The sequence below is a fragment of the Homo sapiens genome, chromosome 2 (assembly GCF_000001405.40).
Source record: "Homo sapiens chromosome 2, GRCh38.p14 Primary Assembly".
Classification (NCBI taxonomy): Eukaryota; Metazoa; Chordata; class Mammalia; order Primates; family Hominidae; genus Homo; species Homo sapiens.
Window position 1 is genome coordinate 120,555,409 of NC_000002.12, and position 16,831 is coordinate 120,572,239.

The 16,831-nt window shown below is 52.4% G+C and overlaps 1 annotated feature.

The window, feature by feature from the left end:
* Window positions 4,523-5,024: an enhancer, noted in NCBI's record as "H3K4me1 hESC enhancer chr2:121317507-121318008 (GRCh37/hg19 assembly coordinates)". NCBI's record gives its function as "activates a minimal SCP1, AML or CMV promoter by ChIP-STARR-seq in naive H9 embryonic stem cells {active_cell/tissue: H9 hESC(naive)}" and the evidence as "EXISTENCE:reporter gene assay evidence [ECO:0000049][PMID:30033119]".

Below are 16,831 nucleotides of genomic sequence, written 5' to 3' on the forward strand. Positions count from 1 at the left end.
ATTTGTCAGCTAGGTCAGTCCTGCTGCAACGTGAGAGGGGACCAGGGCCAGAACTAAGTGAGGCACTTGCTTGGGTGCAAAATTTAAAGGGGTAAAAAAAAGCCTCTGTGGTGAAAACAAGTAATATTTTGAAAAATAAAAATGAATGTGAAAACATCCATGGCGACAAAATACCAATCTTTTAAATAAAGACAGGACCCAGCACAGCTGGGATTTGGGTGGGGCGAGTGAGGTGGGACAGGCAGGTATGAGGCTGGACCCTACCCATGTGCATGCATTCCAGGAGGCAGGGGTCATTGCAGGCCATCCTGGAGACTGGCTGGTACAGGGACCAAGCTCTGGGAGGCACGGTCCTAGTTCAGAGCCTGTGAGTCTCCGACGCAGGTGGCCCAGGGGCAAGGAGGTGAGTGGCAGGGAAACCTGCTTCTCCATTGTGAGTCACCAATTGGAGAGGAAGAAATCCACGCACACCACAAACATAAATGGCAGCCTAATTTCCAGGGAATTCGGGTTGGATGTTGTATTCATTTCTTAGAGCTACTGTAACAAATTATCACCAACTAAGTGAATTAGAACAACAGAAATGTATTCTTTCATAGACTCTGGGGGGTGGAAGTCTGCAGTCAAGGTGTCAGCAAGGTTAATAATGCTGTAAAACAGCAATAATCACCATATTATCATTATATGATTATCATATTATTATATGATTACTATAATAATATAATAACATTATTACATCACTGTTATTATACTTCTGGGGCTTATGAAGACGAATCTGTTCCATGCCTCTCTCCTGGCTTCTGATGGCTGCAGGCAATCCCTGGGGTCCTTGGCTTGCAGACTCACCACTCCAACCTCTGCCTCTGTTGTCACAGAGTGTTCACCTCATGTGTTTGTGTCCAAATTTCTCTCATCTTATAAGGACACCGATCATTGGATTAGAACCCACTCACATCCAATGTGAACTCATATTAATTTGGTTACTTTGGCAAAGACCCTACATATCTTTGGGAGACGCAATTTAACCCACCACAGTAGTATAAGGTTATTCGAATGGTGGATTCACTACATCATTGGAATTGGAAGGAAGACAAATATTTAAAAATTCACATTTCATGCATCTGCTTTTTAAAGCATGAACAGGAAGCATAAAGTGCTTTTGAATAAAAGTGAAAAAGCAATAAAATATCTACTTCCACTCTGTTATGAGCTGTCTGGGGACAGTGACAGAGAATGCATGGATGAGGTGAAGGGGGATTCAGTCACCCAGAGACTGAGGCAGACAGTCAATCTCAGAGACACATCAAGCGAGAGGGGGAGACAGCAGCAAGGACCCTGAGGATGGGGCAGCCCCGAGGCCTCTAGGAGTCTGTCACCGGAGACTTCCAAAGCCCTGTTATGTTTTTGCAACAACAGGCACGCAGGAAGCGCTCTCCTTGGGGTGGAGGACATGGCAGGAATGGGACTGGCCTGATGGTTGGGGAGGCTCCTGGTCTGCACACTGTTGCTCAGAATTTATCAAGCATACTTTGATTGTCATCAAGAAAATGTCAATGTTGTGGTAAGTTGGAAGGGCTTGAAATGAATTTCAAGTTCAGTGATGGCAAATGGGTTTTCTCTCTGACACCCTGCCTCCACTGCCAGCTGTCCTGAAGCACTGTGGGGAGAAGACTCCAGGCTCAGAGATCTGTGATTGATTAGCTATGTCTGCCTCAGGTGCAGGAAGGAGAGTGGCCCCTTTGCATATCTGCTCTTCTAGATCAAGCACAAATATTGTCTTTTGAGGGTGAGAAAATCGAGACCAAGTAGGAGAAAATAACGTGCCTGAGATGTTGCTAGTTCATGGCAGAGCACAGATATGGCCAGTTTCCCGTGCTCACTCCAGCCTGGACTGTGTTCTGCCATTCTCCATGCCAGCGAGGGGCACCCACATCCATCCTGTGGCACGGAGTCACCCTCAGCACCTTCCCTCCCACTCCCACACATTCAATGGCCAATTCCTGTTCACTCCCCGCTTAACTTTCTTCTCTCCAGCCATCCACTTCTCTCCATTTCACCACCCTCCTCCTGGTCCAGGGTTCTAACAGGGGTCAATGCTGTCCACCAGAGGACTTCCAATAATGTCTGGAGACATTTTCAGTTGTCACAATTTTGGGGGGTTATACTGGTATCTAGTGGGTAGGGGCCAGAGATGCTGTTAAACATCCTGCGATGCACACGGCAGCCCCCCACAACAAAGAAGTGTCCAGCACTCCATGTCAGCAGTGCCGAGGCTGAGATATCTGCCCTAGTCCAAGCCACCATTGTCTCTTGCCTAGACAGGCTCAAAGGACTTCCCACCAGCCTTCCTGCCCCATCTTGCCCCTACCATCCATTCTCTACCCAGAAGCTGGAATAATCTTAAAACATAAATCCTAATACTATACTTGCACAGAGACCCTTGCTCCACACCACAGCTCGGTAGACCCTGAGCACTCTGGCCCCACCACCTCTCTGTATCCCCTCCTCTCACTTGCCCCACTGCTGTGTTCTCTCCCACTGGCCTGCTTTCAGGGCCCAGAGGTACCGCGCTTCTTCCTCCTTCAGGGCCCTTGCAAATGTTGCTCCCTGTGTTGGACACACCTACCCTCAACCCCAATCTCTTTGCCTCATTGACTCTTGCTCTCCCTGCTGATCTCATCACTTCCTTACGGAAGCTTTTCTTCCCCTCCTGGCTGGCCTAGGTCCCTCTATGCCCTCTTCGTATTATGCATTATTATCTGTCACAGTACAGTACATGTCACAATACATGTATTTGTGAGATTGCTTGATGAATGTCTTCCAACTCCCATGTCAATGTAAGTCCCGGGGAGGCAGGAGCAGTATCTGCTTTAACCAATCTGTTTTCAGCATCTAATACTGTATCTGGTGCTGGGTGCAGTGGCTCACACCTGTAATCCCAGCACTTTGGGAGGCCGAGGCGAGCAGATCACTTGGGGTCAGGAGTTTGAGACCAGCCTGGCCAACATGGTGAAACCCTGTCTCTACTAAAAATACAAAAATTAGCTGGGCGTAGTGGCGGGCACCTGTAATCCCAGTTGCTCAGCAGGCTGAGGCAGGAGAATCACTTGAACCTGGGAGGCAGAGGTTGCAGTGAGCCAAGATTGTGCAGCTGCACTCCTGCACTTCAGCCTGGGCAACAGAAAAAGACTCCATCTCAAAAAAAAAAAAAAAATTTCCTGGAACCTAGTAAGTTCTCAATAAATATTTGTTGAATGAATGAATGAATGAATGAACAACCTCAGGTCTCCAGACGCCTTGATCTTCTATTCACTCTATTACAACCAGGGTCTCTCCTATTCCTCTTCTTTTCTATGTCTCTGCTTTTCACGCTTTTCCTTCTACCCATTATTTCTCTATTAACTGTAAACACACAGCAAATGGCTGCATGTAAGTGTTTATTGTGCTGATCAAATGTCATTCTTTGTTCTGAGAAACAAATTCAGTTGATTTTCTTATTTGCATATCCTTCTACTAATGTTGCCAGAAATGAAAAATAGTCAAATATAATGAGCTGTCAATGCTGGATGGACGCCTGGCTCTGCCTGAAGACAGGCACTGAACCAGGTGGCCTTGGCCTGGGAGTCAAAGTCAGTGGCCAATTGTTATCCAGCCCCAGCCCCAGGGGGGTTGCAGGTCCTGGCTCCACAGCAATGGAAGCTGGTCATTTCCTGGCTCTGCTCAGGGTTGGCACCTTCTCTCGAACTCCTGGCCTCACACAATCCCTCTATCTCAGCCTCCCAAAGCACTGGGATTACAGATGTGAGCCACTGTGCCCGGCCTGGGCTGGCACCTTCTCAAGCTACAGGTCTTAGTCAAATGTCATTTCCTCAGTGAGACCCTCCCAGACCACCCATCTAAAGCTGTCCAAAGACCAAAAGCCCAACTCAGGAAACAGTGCAGGGTTGGGAAGAGGTAGGGCCCTTGACATTCTGCAATTCTACGTTCTTCGATTCTACATTCTACAATTCTACGTTCTTCAGAGATGTAGAATTCTTCATCTCTGCGCTTCTTGCTGCATGAGGTCATTAAATGTTTCTGTGGCTTAAGCCACTCTTAATCAGATGTCTTGTTATTTGCAGTTGAAGGTACTCTAACTGATGCATTTTTTTAAAACCACATGTATTAGTCTGCTAGGGTTGTCATAACAAAGTACTACAGACTGGGAGCTTAAACAGCAGAAATGTATCGTTGCACAGTTCTGGAGGCTGGAAGTCCTAGATGAGGTATTTGCAAAGCTGGTTGCTTCTGAGTCATGAGGAAAGGCTCTGTCCCAGGCCTTCTCCCTGGTTTGTAGGTGCCACCCTCCCTCTTTGTCTTCGCGTGGTCATCCCTATGTGTGTGTCTGTGTCCAAATGTCCTCTTCTTATAAGGACATCAGTCATATTGGATTATAGCCCACCCCAATGACCTCATTTTAATTTCATGACCTTTTGAAAGACTCTCTCTCCTAATGCAGTTATATTCTGAGCTACTGGGGTTTAGAACTGCAACCTACGAACAGGAGACAGGGAGGTCACAATTTAGCCCATAACACCACAGATCCAGAATTATTTTCTGTCAGCCAAAACCGGCTCCTGGGGCTGGAGACAGACAGGGCGTGGAGCCACCCACAGAGCAGGAATGGCTGTTGGGAGCCCGGGATGATGAGCTGACTGCCCAAGGTGAGGGAAGGCAGGAGACAAAGGTTCTCTCCAGGATTTAAATCTCAACAGCCAGTGGGAAAACACACCAATAAAGTTAAAAACCACCATCATAATAATAGCGGCCGCCCCTCATCCACACCATGCAGTGGGCCCTGTGTGAGGGCCTCCTTGACACTGTCTTTGACAGCCCTAGGACGGAGGCACTGTTCCTCACCCAATGACGAGGCTGAGCTCAGAGCTGTTCCTCACATGCCAAGGGTCACACGGCTGGGATGGCAGCCTCAGAGGTGCCTCTTTAATCTCCTTTTAAGAGAGAACTTGCCCTCAAGCAGCGGAGAGCACAGGAGCCACCAGGCTCCCTGCAGCACTTTCAGGACCCTCCTCCACTTCCCAGCCAAGACCCCGCATCCTGGGTAGCACTGGGCCACGGACTGAGCAGGGTGGGGCAGGGCACTAGGTCCTGCTACTCCTGCCCACGTGGGACTCTTCTGAGGGGCCATCCTTGCTCTGGATCTCCCTGTAAAGCTGGCCAAGAGGTTGGCATGTCTACACTGCAGTATCAGTGCCTCCTGCCCATCCCACTCCCCGTAGCCACTCCCCATAGTTCACAGGCACTATCTACAAGAAATCTTTCAGGTTCCTAAGTCAGTCTCAGTGCCTGCTTTCCAGAGGACCCAGCTGGCTCTGGCTGGGGAGGGCAGACCAGCATTAGGACCATGACCTCCCCCTAGGGATGCGTCACCACCTCTCCCATCACTGCTCAATCTGGAAGGCAAAGGCTAGAGGGTTTGAAGACAAGAATTGGAGCTGGGCCCTGTGAACCATGAAATGCGGAGCTGGTGGTCAATTTCACCTGGTCTAATGAGTGTGTGGCCCAGGCATCCAGGGCCAGGTACCAGGGAGGGCCAGCAGCATTGCCCAAGGCCAGCAGCTGCTTGGTGGTAGAGCAAGGCCAGAGTCCCAGGTCCTTGGACCCCATTTGAGCCCCTTACATGGGTGTGGACCTTCTGCCCAGCCAAAGTGACTCAGAACTGTGGCCCTGAGGTGTTTCTGAGGAGGGATGAGGCGGGATGGTGGAGGAGCCAAGGGCTCATCCCTCAGCTGCAAAGGCTGCAAGGACCCTTTAAGGCCTTCCACCAGGACCTCCTGACGATGGAGGGCAACCTGCCCCCAGGAGCAGAACTCAGACAGGCGGCTTATGCCCCTCTGCCCAGCCCTCATTGACTTTGCCACTCATCTAAAGTGGGCACAAAGCCATCTTCTTGCTGGGGAATTGGGAGTCTTCAAAAAGCTGGTGTGGAAAGAGCCCCCGCCTGAACCAGGACCCCTGTCCTTGCCCATTCTGACAGTGCTGCCCAGAAACTCAAGTGCTGGCCTCACCACACGCTGATTTATGACTGTGATGACCCGAGAACCCTCTGAAGGAGCCCTGGTACTTGGTTTATAGCCTTTACCATCTCCAGGGCTAATTAGTTTTATGGCCAACAGGAGAGAAGGGAGGTTTAGCGGCTTGACCTGTCTCTTTGGTTCAACAGCACAAAGTGCAGCTGTTTATTTTCCAAGGGGCTCCAGGCAGAGTCCCTCCCTCCCTTTCTCTTTCCTGCGGCCGCTGGCCTGGATGACAGAGGTGTGATGGGGCACCACGGGGTCTCTCCAAGGCTGGTGGAGAGCAGGCAAGGGGAACCTTCCCGTTTCAGGGATGTATTCTCACCTAGGGCTCAGGACTACACTGGGGGCCCTCCAAGCAGGGGCTGGGCTTGTCTTCTGGATGGAGGGAGACTGCTCACTCTCATTTCAGGGTATCTTCAGCACGATGTTCCCACGGAGCCCTAACGTCCACTGTCTGCCCACCCTTTCAGGCCAGTTTTCCAAGTTAAGCATTTGCACTCAAGTCTGGCCCTGCTCCTCCTTCACTGACCTTCCCAGCAAAGGCTATGCTCCTGATGTCCTCACAGACGATAAGAGCAACCGACTGGTGCTGGGTCTGCACTATTAAATGTACAGTGTGTGTGTCTCTGTGTGTCTATCTCCAATCACTGTACCCAAACAACACAAAGCAAACACTCTGAAACCAGTCAGATGTGATTCTGCTGCTACTTCAAGTTAATCTGTGGGCCTTAGACCCTTCATCTGTGAAATGGGGATAATAATGCATCCTCAGGTTGCTGCTATGATTATTAGATGAGATGGTGCAGCAAAGCACTTAGTCTGGTGCCAGATCTGGACTCAACAGATTTATTAACATTCTGAGGAGTGGGAAAACAGAGGGCACAGGACAGCCCTCCAGGCGGGAACTGTCTCCTCCACTGACACAGCAGGGCTCCCTTGGCCGTCTGCATTCCCGAACATTGGTCTGACAGCTGAGGTCATCACTCACCTGGCATCATCTAAGAGTTTGTATAGACAGAAACCTCTTGCACACGCACCCTTGCACACTCATGTACATAGGCTCAAGCATTCAAGCATATGTGTGTGTGCACACCAGAAATCATACTCATGTATGCAAGTGTGTTTGCAGATGTGTATTCTTGCACATGGAGACACATGTACACATACACACATGCATGCATCCCATATGCGCTGCACAGAGTCCTACAGACACACGCCACATGCACACACGCACACATTCCTGCACACATGCGCAGAGTCCCGTGCCTCTGGCACCTGTGCAGGACAGAGGAGAGGGCTGGGCCAGACACGGTGACTCACGCCTGTAATCCCAGCACTTTGGCAGGCAGAGGCGGGCGGATCACCTGAAGTCAGGAGTTCGAGACCAGTCTGGACAACATGGCCAAACCCCGTCTCTACCAAAAATACAAAAAATTAGCCAGGCATGGTGATGGGGGCCTGTAATCCCAGCTACTCGGGAGGCTGAGGCATGAGAATTGCTTGAACCCGGAAGACGGAGGCTGCAGTGAGTAGAGACTGGGCCATTGCACTCCAGCCTGGGCATCAAGAGCGAAACTCTGTTTAAAAAAAATTAAAAAATAAAAATTAAAAAAATAAACAGAGAAACAGGCTGACGATGCCAGAGCCAGACAAGGTAACACAGTCAGCTCAGAGATTAAGGCCCAAGGAAAGGTGGGAAAGGAGACTCGTTTAGCTGCTAAAGGACATCTTGAAGTAAAAATAGCCCAGCATAGGCCTGCTAGGAGGGGCCTGGGTCACCCTGACACCCTGATGCTCCCTTCCACGCCTCCTCTCTGGAAGTCTTCAGGTGACCTGCCTCTGTAGCCCAGAAGCCCCCGTGAAGGGGTAGCAGTGAAAGGACAAGACACCCTCTGTGCTCTCTCCTCAGGGTCAGGATGAGGGCAGGATGGCTGGAGAGCTGGCAGTGAAGGGAGCCCAGCATTCCTGTCCCCACCACTGCCCATTTAACCCTAGAGCCCTCTGAGGACCTCAGCGTCTAGATGCAGACACTTGTTCCCATGTGGTGACCCACGGTGCCTCACAGTGTGCCTGACTTATCTGCTGTGGTCCTACCGCTATAGGGAGGGGCAGGAAGCCAGGTCCCCAGATGAGACACTTGGCTAGAAGGAGAGTTCTAGGGCTCAGGGATCACCCTGGCTTTCCTGTTAAGAAGAGTGTTCAAACCTTGATAGGCAAAAGGCCCTGCAGGTCCCACTCAGGACAACCTGGGCATTAAGGGAAATTAATACAAGTGCTACTATGTCTAATACAATTGCATGTCATAAACTATATTGCAATCATTGAGTTGTATACTTCAAAGGGTGCATTTTATTGTATATGAATTACACCTCCATAAAGTTGGTTATGTATCTCTTACTCCCTAGCACTTGTGTTGGGCACTCTGCACGCTTTTTAAGTGGATTATCTCATTAAACCTTCCCCCAAACCCACTCCACATGTGAGGAAAGGAGGTGGAGACCTGGTTCAAGGCCATGCAGCTGGTCAGCGTGGAGCACTCAGGACCCCACTTGGCAAGACTGGCAGGAAGGCTCATTTCTTCTTCCATTTATTCAGTCAATTTTCACTCAATCAACAAAAAAAGTAGATGTCCAGAACCAAACGGTGCTGGTGGTTCCTGAACTCCTGTATGCAGCAGAAACATCACCAGAAATGCTTATTAAAATGCTGGTTTAGGGACCCACTGCCCAAGTTATGTCTCAGTGGGTGGGGGGCAGAACCTGCACTCCAACCGCCAGCCCAGCGGGCGACCCCTGGGGGCGAGGCGGGCAGAGGGAAGGAGGCGCCGGGCGCCTGAGCACCTGCGCATGAGGAGGCTGAGTCACAATGTGTTTGTGCTAGGGTAGGTATTAATAGAAACATAAAACCCCGGATCAGCCATTTCTTCCCCCTCTGGACAAGCCCGGACGACACGGGGCCACTGTTCTGTGACTCTGACCTTTGCCGTACATTAAACAAGAGGAGGGCGGGTCACATGGACACCTCATTAATTCGCCCTCCCTGTGGCAGGAGGATGGAGGGACAACAGAGGGCAGAACTCTCCACACTGCAGCCTTATCAAGGATAACGAGTGACCGTGTTGGGGGCTCAGGGGAGGGGCGAGTATCCCTAGGGGCGGGGCCTCAGTGAAGGGATAAATTAGTGCATCCTTTGTTTGCCTGCCAATAGGTGCTTCCAGGGGAGCCCTGGGGGCTAGGGAAGTTTGTTTGCCCAAAGCGTTTAAACAATCCCCCTGCAATCCTGTTTGCACTCTTCATTTGCTCAGCAAACCTGCCCCTCGGATATAGCTTTGGAGTAAACTCAGGCCCAGCTGCTGCTGAGCTCAGGGATGTTGTTTGGCCCTCCCAAGCTGGGGCAGGGGCTCCAAATGTACACAATGCCCCCCCAACTACCACCACCACGCAAATAACACCCCATCTGACCTCATCCTGCTGGGCAAGTGAGAGTTAAACATCCTAGTTCAAGTTCATTCTGTCTCTTATAGCTAAGTACCTGACTTTTCAAAGGTCAGAGCTGCTGCAGGGCTGTCTCTGCTCTCAGGAGGACACCCTTCCTCCCACTCCCTCTTTGCCAGGCTGCAGTGGAGGGGCCTGGTGGCCCTGGGGTGTTGGGTCGGGCCATCTTGCTTGCAACACGCCCCGCAGTCCTGGGGCCGGCGGGGTTGGGGCGGGGAGTGGGGGGGTCCTGAGGTCTGTTTACTACACCTAAGCCATGCAGGGGAATTGCTCTGGGCCCTGTGGCTGGGTCCCTATTCTGGGGCTGCCACCTGCTAGAGGGAGGTCTGGCTATGACCCCAGTGACCCTTGGCACGGCTGGCTGCTCTGCAGTTTTGACTATAGGGCACCGGCCACTCTCAGCTCCCTCTGGTCTGCCTTCCACACAGTTGGGAGCCTAGGATCCTGGGGGTGCTAGGCAAGCCCCTCTGGTACTTCCTGAACCTCCCACCACCATCTACTCTGGGTAGCAGCCTGATGTTGTAGAGGTGGGGTCTTTGGCACCAGAAGCACGGGGGGCAGGGGAGGGGTCAGGGTCAGCATTCCCTTGGATCTAGGAAGTTTCTTACCCCCTCCTTGGGTGCAGCCTCACATATCTCCCTTCTGATGTCTTATGCAGTTCCAGTTCACCTTCTTATCACATTCTGTGTCCTCTGCCCGACACGGTCTTAGAGTAAACCTCACGCTCAGACCTGCAGGCATTGCACTTGATATAGAAAGGGCAACGTGCAGACGTAGAAAGCTTTTTCCCCTGCAGGGAAGCCTGGCTTTCAAACCCTTCTTGCTGTGGGCCTGGAGATCCTAGTCTGGCTAGGCGCTCACTTGCTCTTTGTGTCTTGTAACAACCCTGATCCTCCTGGAGGCTTGGGCCTCTGGCAGACTAGTGGGAAGGTCACCAACAGGGAAGAAAAGAAAAACACCAAAGGCATTCCCACATTTTAAATGTACTCTTCCATTATACATGTCAATCTGCCCTGGAGATGTCCCAGTAAGGGCACCGGCTGAACACAGGAGTGTGTGGAGGGGCCCCCATCTGGGCCCAAGGATCTTCTGGCATCAGGGGTAGAGGGCAAAGGGCCCCTGCCGCTTCTTATCAAGTGGTCAAGTGCCTGTGGCATAGGAACAATGACGGCTGTGTCACAAAGGTATGAGGATTAACAGAGTAAACGCCTGGTGTAGCCTCGGCTTCACCACTGGGCACACGTGGAGATGCTCCTCGTCTTATTCCCTCTCGAGCTGCTCTTAATGCCCAGATAGACCGAATTTGCCCCCAGAACAGGAGTTCCCCATGCCTTCCTCTTCCAGGGAGATTTCAGTGAGAGCAGCAAGTCGAAGCCTGATGCAGTTTCCAGGTGTATAGGGCAGAAAGGGATCGTCTCCCCAGCATGGCTTTTTGACAGATAGAAGGCATCGGTGTGACAGAGAAGGAGGCTGGATCCTGGGCTACCCATCAAGCTGCGGGTTACTCAGGGAGGACCGGGGGCTGACAGCCCTTAGACTACCCTGACTCATGCCTGGAGTCAGACATAGGAGCTCCCTTCCCCCCAGGCCACCTCTGCTGGGATGTGCTTGCCCCTCCCCACCCCACCTCAGTTTCCCCACTGCACAGTGGACACCAAGCCGAAGTCATAGGGTGTGGGAGCAGTGAGTCTGAAGAACACCACAGTTAGGAAATCTAAAGCAATCTTTTTCTTGGTGCTGGCAAGGGTAGCTTGCATGAAGGTCAAGATAAAACCCGCGGGGAGAAAGGAGCGGCGGAGTGTTTTGTTTGGCGCAGGCCAGCCGGCTGTTGCCTCGGTAGCTGAGAACATCGGCTCTGGTCACGCTTGCCTCTGCTCCAATCCTATTACTCCATGCGGTTTGGCCTCCAAAAATAGCCTCTGTCAGCTCCATCATCATAGTTCAGCATTTCCACCACCGGTCACTTATTGTTCCGTGGACATAGTCATCGTTAACCCCTCCTCTGCCAGCCGGCCAGGAGCACCTGGGCTAAGATTCCACCTCTGGGGAGAGCGTTTTTCTTTTCACAGCCCCATCAACTCTGCAGGGAGAGCCAAAGGGCGTTTCCATGGGACGGAGCTTCCACCCGGTCCAGACACCACAGACCTACATGGTTTCTTTTTTAACTGCCCTACAAGGTTTAGAGGGGTTATCTGCATTTGGCAGAGGAGGGAAGCAAGACTCAAGGAGGTGAACTGACTTACTCAAGGTCATCAGCCAGTGTGTGGCTCAGCCCAGGTGCAGACCAGGACTGCCCGACTTCAAGGCTGGCCTGTGTCACCTGGTCCTGCAACCATAGCTCTTTTGCCCCAGCTGAGATGAGGCCTCCTCCCCACAGCCTCCTCCAGGCCCCTTTGGTCAACAGACCCTGGACTGAAGGCATAGGGGGAGAGTGCTGCCTGCCTGCAGGGTCACCTGAAGTGTTTGTGTAGAGTGGAGATCGCAATCCCCTGCTCCCAGACAGCCTGACTCAGTAACCCAGGGACACAGCCTGGCAGGGCTCATAAGTCTAAGCACCACGAATGTCCTGAGAGTCTGCAGGTGCCACTGGGAAGGAAGGAAAATTGGTCTTTTTGGAGTCTGGCATGGCATCCAACACATTAGCATATAACAGTGTGTTTCTTTTCAGCAGTCAATTTTTTAGATGAGAAAGTGGAGATTCCCTCCATGGCACCAGATTGTCTCTCAAAAGAAAACAGCCAACAATTTTACAGCAAAGATCAGCCTGGACGATGGACAAATGTGTCACACAGACCTGAGTGTGGAGTAGGCGCCCAACAAGGAGGCAGCTAGGGCAGTGGCTCTGAGCACAGGCCTGTGGACCAGGCAGACCCCAAGTGCTTGGGGCGTATAAATGAGATGATGTGGGTCCAGGGGCAGCACAGAGCCTAGTGCTAATGACAGCGTCTGGGATCACTGAGGCCTCAACATGTGCAAGAACATTGTCCTAAGAACCTGCTATTGATGAGCTTGTTCACACTCGTTAGGCAAATTCTGCTGTTATTCTCATTTTACAGGGGAGAAAACTGAGGAACTGAGAAGTAACTTACTACTGGAAGTAGGATGGGAAACCAGGCATCTACCTTCAGAGCTTTGTGCATTCATCATTACATATGTTCCCTGGGGACAGAGCAGTCCTGGTATAATTGCTGGGGAGCCCTGGCCTGCCACTGAGACTCCCCCACCTCCCCTCTGGCTTCTCTGTCTGCCCCTGCAGGGCCTGGACCAAGTGCTCCCAGGGGCCTTCTGGCCCTGACCCACTGAGGATGCATCCTGCTGTGGCCTCCTTGCAGTAGCCCCAAGACTGGCCACCCTGGCTCCTGCAGGCCAAGCCCCTGGGGCTCCTGGCTCCTCCTGCTGTGTCAGGCCCAGCCTCCTTCCAACCTGCTGAGGTGCTGACCAGCCCCAGTCATTCCTCAGGACAGTCTCTGAGTTTGGACAGCGACCTCTAAACCCTGCCCATGCTGTGATTTTATCCTGGCCAGTCTTTGCTTGCATACCATTGCCATTTAAATCATTCTGCCGGTGGAAGCTGGGTTGAAGAAACCAAGGGTTCTGGGTCCCCCAGTGCTGACCCTGCACCCACAGCGAGGAATGTAGAGGTTGGAACAATCTTCACCTTTCACAGGCTTGGAGTTCACTTGCTCCAGAACAACTTTGCGACTTTTTGGGAGAATGCCAGCAGTAATCTCCATGTGGCCCCGTGGAAAGAACCTGGGCTCTGCCAGGCTTTGGTGCCCTCTCTGCAGCTCTCAGGCTGAGTTTTGGTGAAATGATGCTTGTGGAACGCCTAGCAAAGCACCCCCGCTCACAGTGGCCCCACGAAGCAGTAGGTCCCCTAAACTACCTGCACTTGCCCATCTGAGCCTCCCTCCCACTGCCCCTTCTCTGTGCCCCAGAGCCTGACCACATCAACGAGTCCCTGTGCTCGGGTGCTGGCTGGTTTTGGCCAGTGGGGTTCCCTGGCAGGGGGCATGTAGTGGCCACACTCTGGCTGAGTGTCTTGCCCATCAGGAGGCCCTGGCCCGGCAGGAGGCCCTCCCCACTCAGCCCTCCTGCTGGGATCTGGACTATTTCCCTGCTTCCTCATCCCTTTAGGCCTAGAGGAGGGAGCAGACCCCTCGTGGTGTCCTATACCCTGGCCTCAACTTGTAAATAGTTCCTTTATTAAACTCTCAGGTCCTTCGACTTTGAGTGTGTCATCTGTTTCCTCCAGTTACCCTGACTGGTACAGTGGCTAAAAATATACAAAGCCAAATGAATAAAAACCCTTGTTTTCATGGACCAGCGCTTGCGGCTCTGAGACAGGTGGTGAGCTGCCCAAGGTCTCTGGAGTTAGTGGCACACCTGGGCCTGGGCTCTGCCTCCTGCCTCCTGTGTTGCTCTTCCCTCGCACCCTGGGACCTCAAACAGTTGGGCATTCTTCAGAGAAGAGGGAGCTCAGCCTGCCTCCCAGGGAGGAGACCCCAGACCCAGGGGCTGTGGGCTCTGGGCCCCAGCAGACCTGGCATGTAGGGGATATTCTCACTCCTGGCCAGCTGTCCCCACCCTGGCTAGGGACTGATGGCCTATGTGAAGGGCACTTGTCTTATTCAGTCTTCCAACGCTATTGTAGGGAATTGCCTCTTTGAGTTTTCTGCCCACTCCACCCCATCGTTGGGGTCTGCCCCTTCTGTCCCTTCTGTTAATGATCAGTGGGCTGGCACAGAGCCCAGCATGCCCTGCACCCCTTCTCTCTCTCACCTGTGTGTGGGCACAGTCAAGCTCCCCATCCTGAAACTGACGTCCAGCATCCCCCTCAACTGCTACTGATGGCCCTGAAAATTCACCATTAACTGCATGGCTCAGCCTGAGGCCTCGATCACGTGCAACGTGCAAATGGGGTATGCTGAATGAATTGGCGCCACTATATAAATGAGTTTTTCCGAGCTCAACCTGGGAAAATCTCCCAATAAAAGGAAGAATGTAAGAGTCACAACTCTCAGTGGGAACTGGAAGGGCTCTGACTGGCTCGCTTAGCTGTGAAGCCCAGGGCAGTCCACGCGAAGCCCTGTAGGGTCCTCCGGATCAGCCTCTGCCCATCTCCTGGTTACGAGGGCTGGGTCTCCAGAGTGGCGAGAAAGACGCCCACCTCCTGCTCAGGCTGCTGAGAAGGCCCTGGGGAAGACAATACCCTTAGCCTCAGTGCCTGCCTCCTTCCCTGCCACTGGCCTGTCTTGGATCACGCAATCAAGTGCTCTGCAGCCAAGGGAGTGACAGGGCCTCAGCACGACCATCCTGTCCCAGTGCAATCGCAGGCACCAAGAGTCGGGGAGTATGGGCCCCAAAGGAGGATGGGCTGCTGTTTCCCATGTCCGCCAGTGGGAAAGAAGACAGCAGGAGGCTTTTGGTGCCTGAAAGAAGGAGAGCTAGGAACTGCGGGAGAGAAATGGAGGCGAAATGCCTCTCACCATTCTCCCTTGGCTGGACCTGGTGCTGGGGATAGGTGCTGCCTCCTCCATGGGGCCATCTCTGATTACCTCGCCTTGCATCTGGGCCCAGGGATCTTCAGGCTCCTGTGTCTCCCCCGGCCCACGATGGACTGTTTACTTATCTCTGTTCTGTACCAGATGGAACGCTCCTCCAGGCCAGGATAACTAACAGGATACCTGTTAGTTACAGTGGCAAACACCTCCCCCAGCCCACGTCTTAACTTCATTCAAGAAGTTGACTTCTCTGGCACACAAAGCTCCATGTGGATGTTCCCAGCTGGCGGGTGGCCTTCCACCTGGTCAGTAGGACCCCGGGGCCTTGGAGCAGTGCCTCCAATAGAACTTGCTGCAATTCTGTGCCCATGTGGCTACCGAGCATTTGAAACATGGCCTGTGTGATGGAGGAACTGAACTTTTCATTTCACTCAATATCAGTTAATTTTAATTTAAACAGCCACATGCTGGGGCTGCTGTCTCACTGGGTGCAGGCTTGGTGCTCTCTGCCCAATCTTCAGATTTCAACTGGAAGACAGAAAAAGGGAGAGGATTTTGAGTTGGGCCTGGTGTGCCTCTTGCTTACCTTGTCACTTGACCACCTCTCACTGCAGTGGATGCTGGGAGCTATCACCTCACAAGGAGCCCTGGAAGTGGAGGGATGAATTTGGGGAGGGCAGCACACCTCGCTGAGTCACCTCTCTGCTTCCCAGCCCTGGCAGTGCCTGGCAGGATGCTGGCACTCAGGAAAGGCATTTTGGATGAGGAGATGTGAATAGGAGTAAGAGGATGTGTATAAATATGAATATGGGGAAAAGGCGTGGCAGGAAGACTCCTAAGTGGATCTCTGCTTGAGGCCACTCTGTCTTCCCAGTAGATGCCGTGGGCTCCAGGCTACCTCCCTGAGCCCGGGACCCAAAAGGCAGGGCAAAATGCAGAACCTCAAGAATGGGGAAACAGCATCTTTCAAACAGCCACTATTGACCCTGTGAGGAGAAAAGCAAAGTACAAAGTGCGGAAGCACTGGGCTCAACCCCTGCCAAGTAGGGTAGGAGGCACTTCTCAAAGCTGGGGCCCTGGGGTCAGGGACAGAGTGGGGGCCAACCCTTTATCTGACTCTATACACAAACCAGTCCCACAGCATGGGGTTTGTATATTGCATTCTAGGAAGCGGGATCTCTTTGGAAGGTAGTGACACCACTGAAGGGATCCCAGGGGCAGGGAAGGGGTGTGAGGAGGAGTCCTAGCTAAGGTCCCAATTAGGGGCTGACTTCCCCTCCTGCCTCTATCTCTAACTTGTCGTGGGACTGCAGACAATTTCCCTCCCCGCTCTGGAATTCTGTAGCCTACTTAAAAATAAGAGGTTTGGACATAGGATTTCTAAGGTCCCTAATGCCCAATAGACCTGAGATTAACTTTTGTCTGCAGCCCAACAAGCCACAGAGACTTTAACAAGGTCTTGGACCTTCAGATGCCTCAATTGGGCCAACTATGAAGGGAGAGGAGTGCCACTAACCTGGGACTGTGTGGGAAAGAAGCACAGATCCCTGGATCTATGGTAACAGTTAGCAGCAGACATGGTAACCCATCTCCTCCGCAAACACGGCCCATCTTGTCCCCAGCATTGAGGAACTGACCTGGGGTCTGCGGAGGTGATGCGGTCACCGGAGGTCTGTCTCACAAAGAGATTCAGAGCTCCTTGAGGAAAGGGACCTTGCCCAGTGCTGAGTTGGTTCTGAGGAGGGACAGGAGAAGCCTG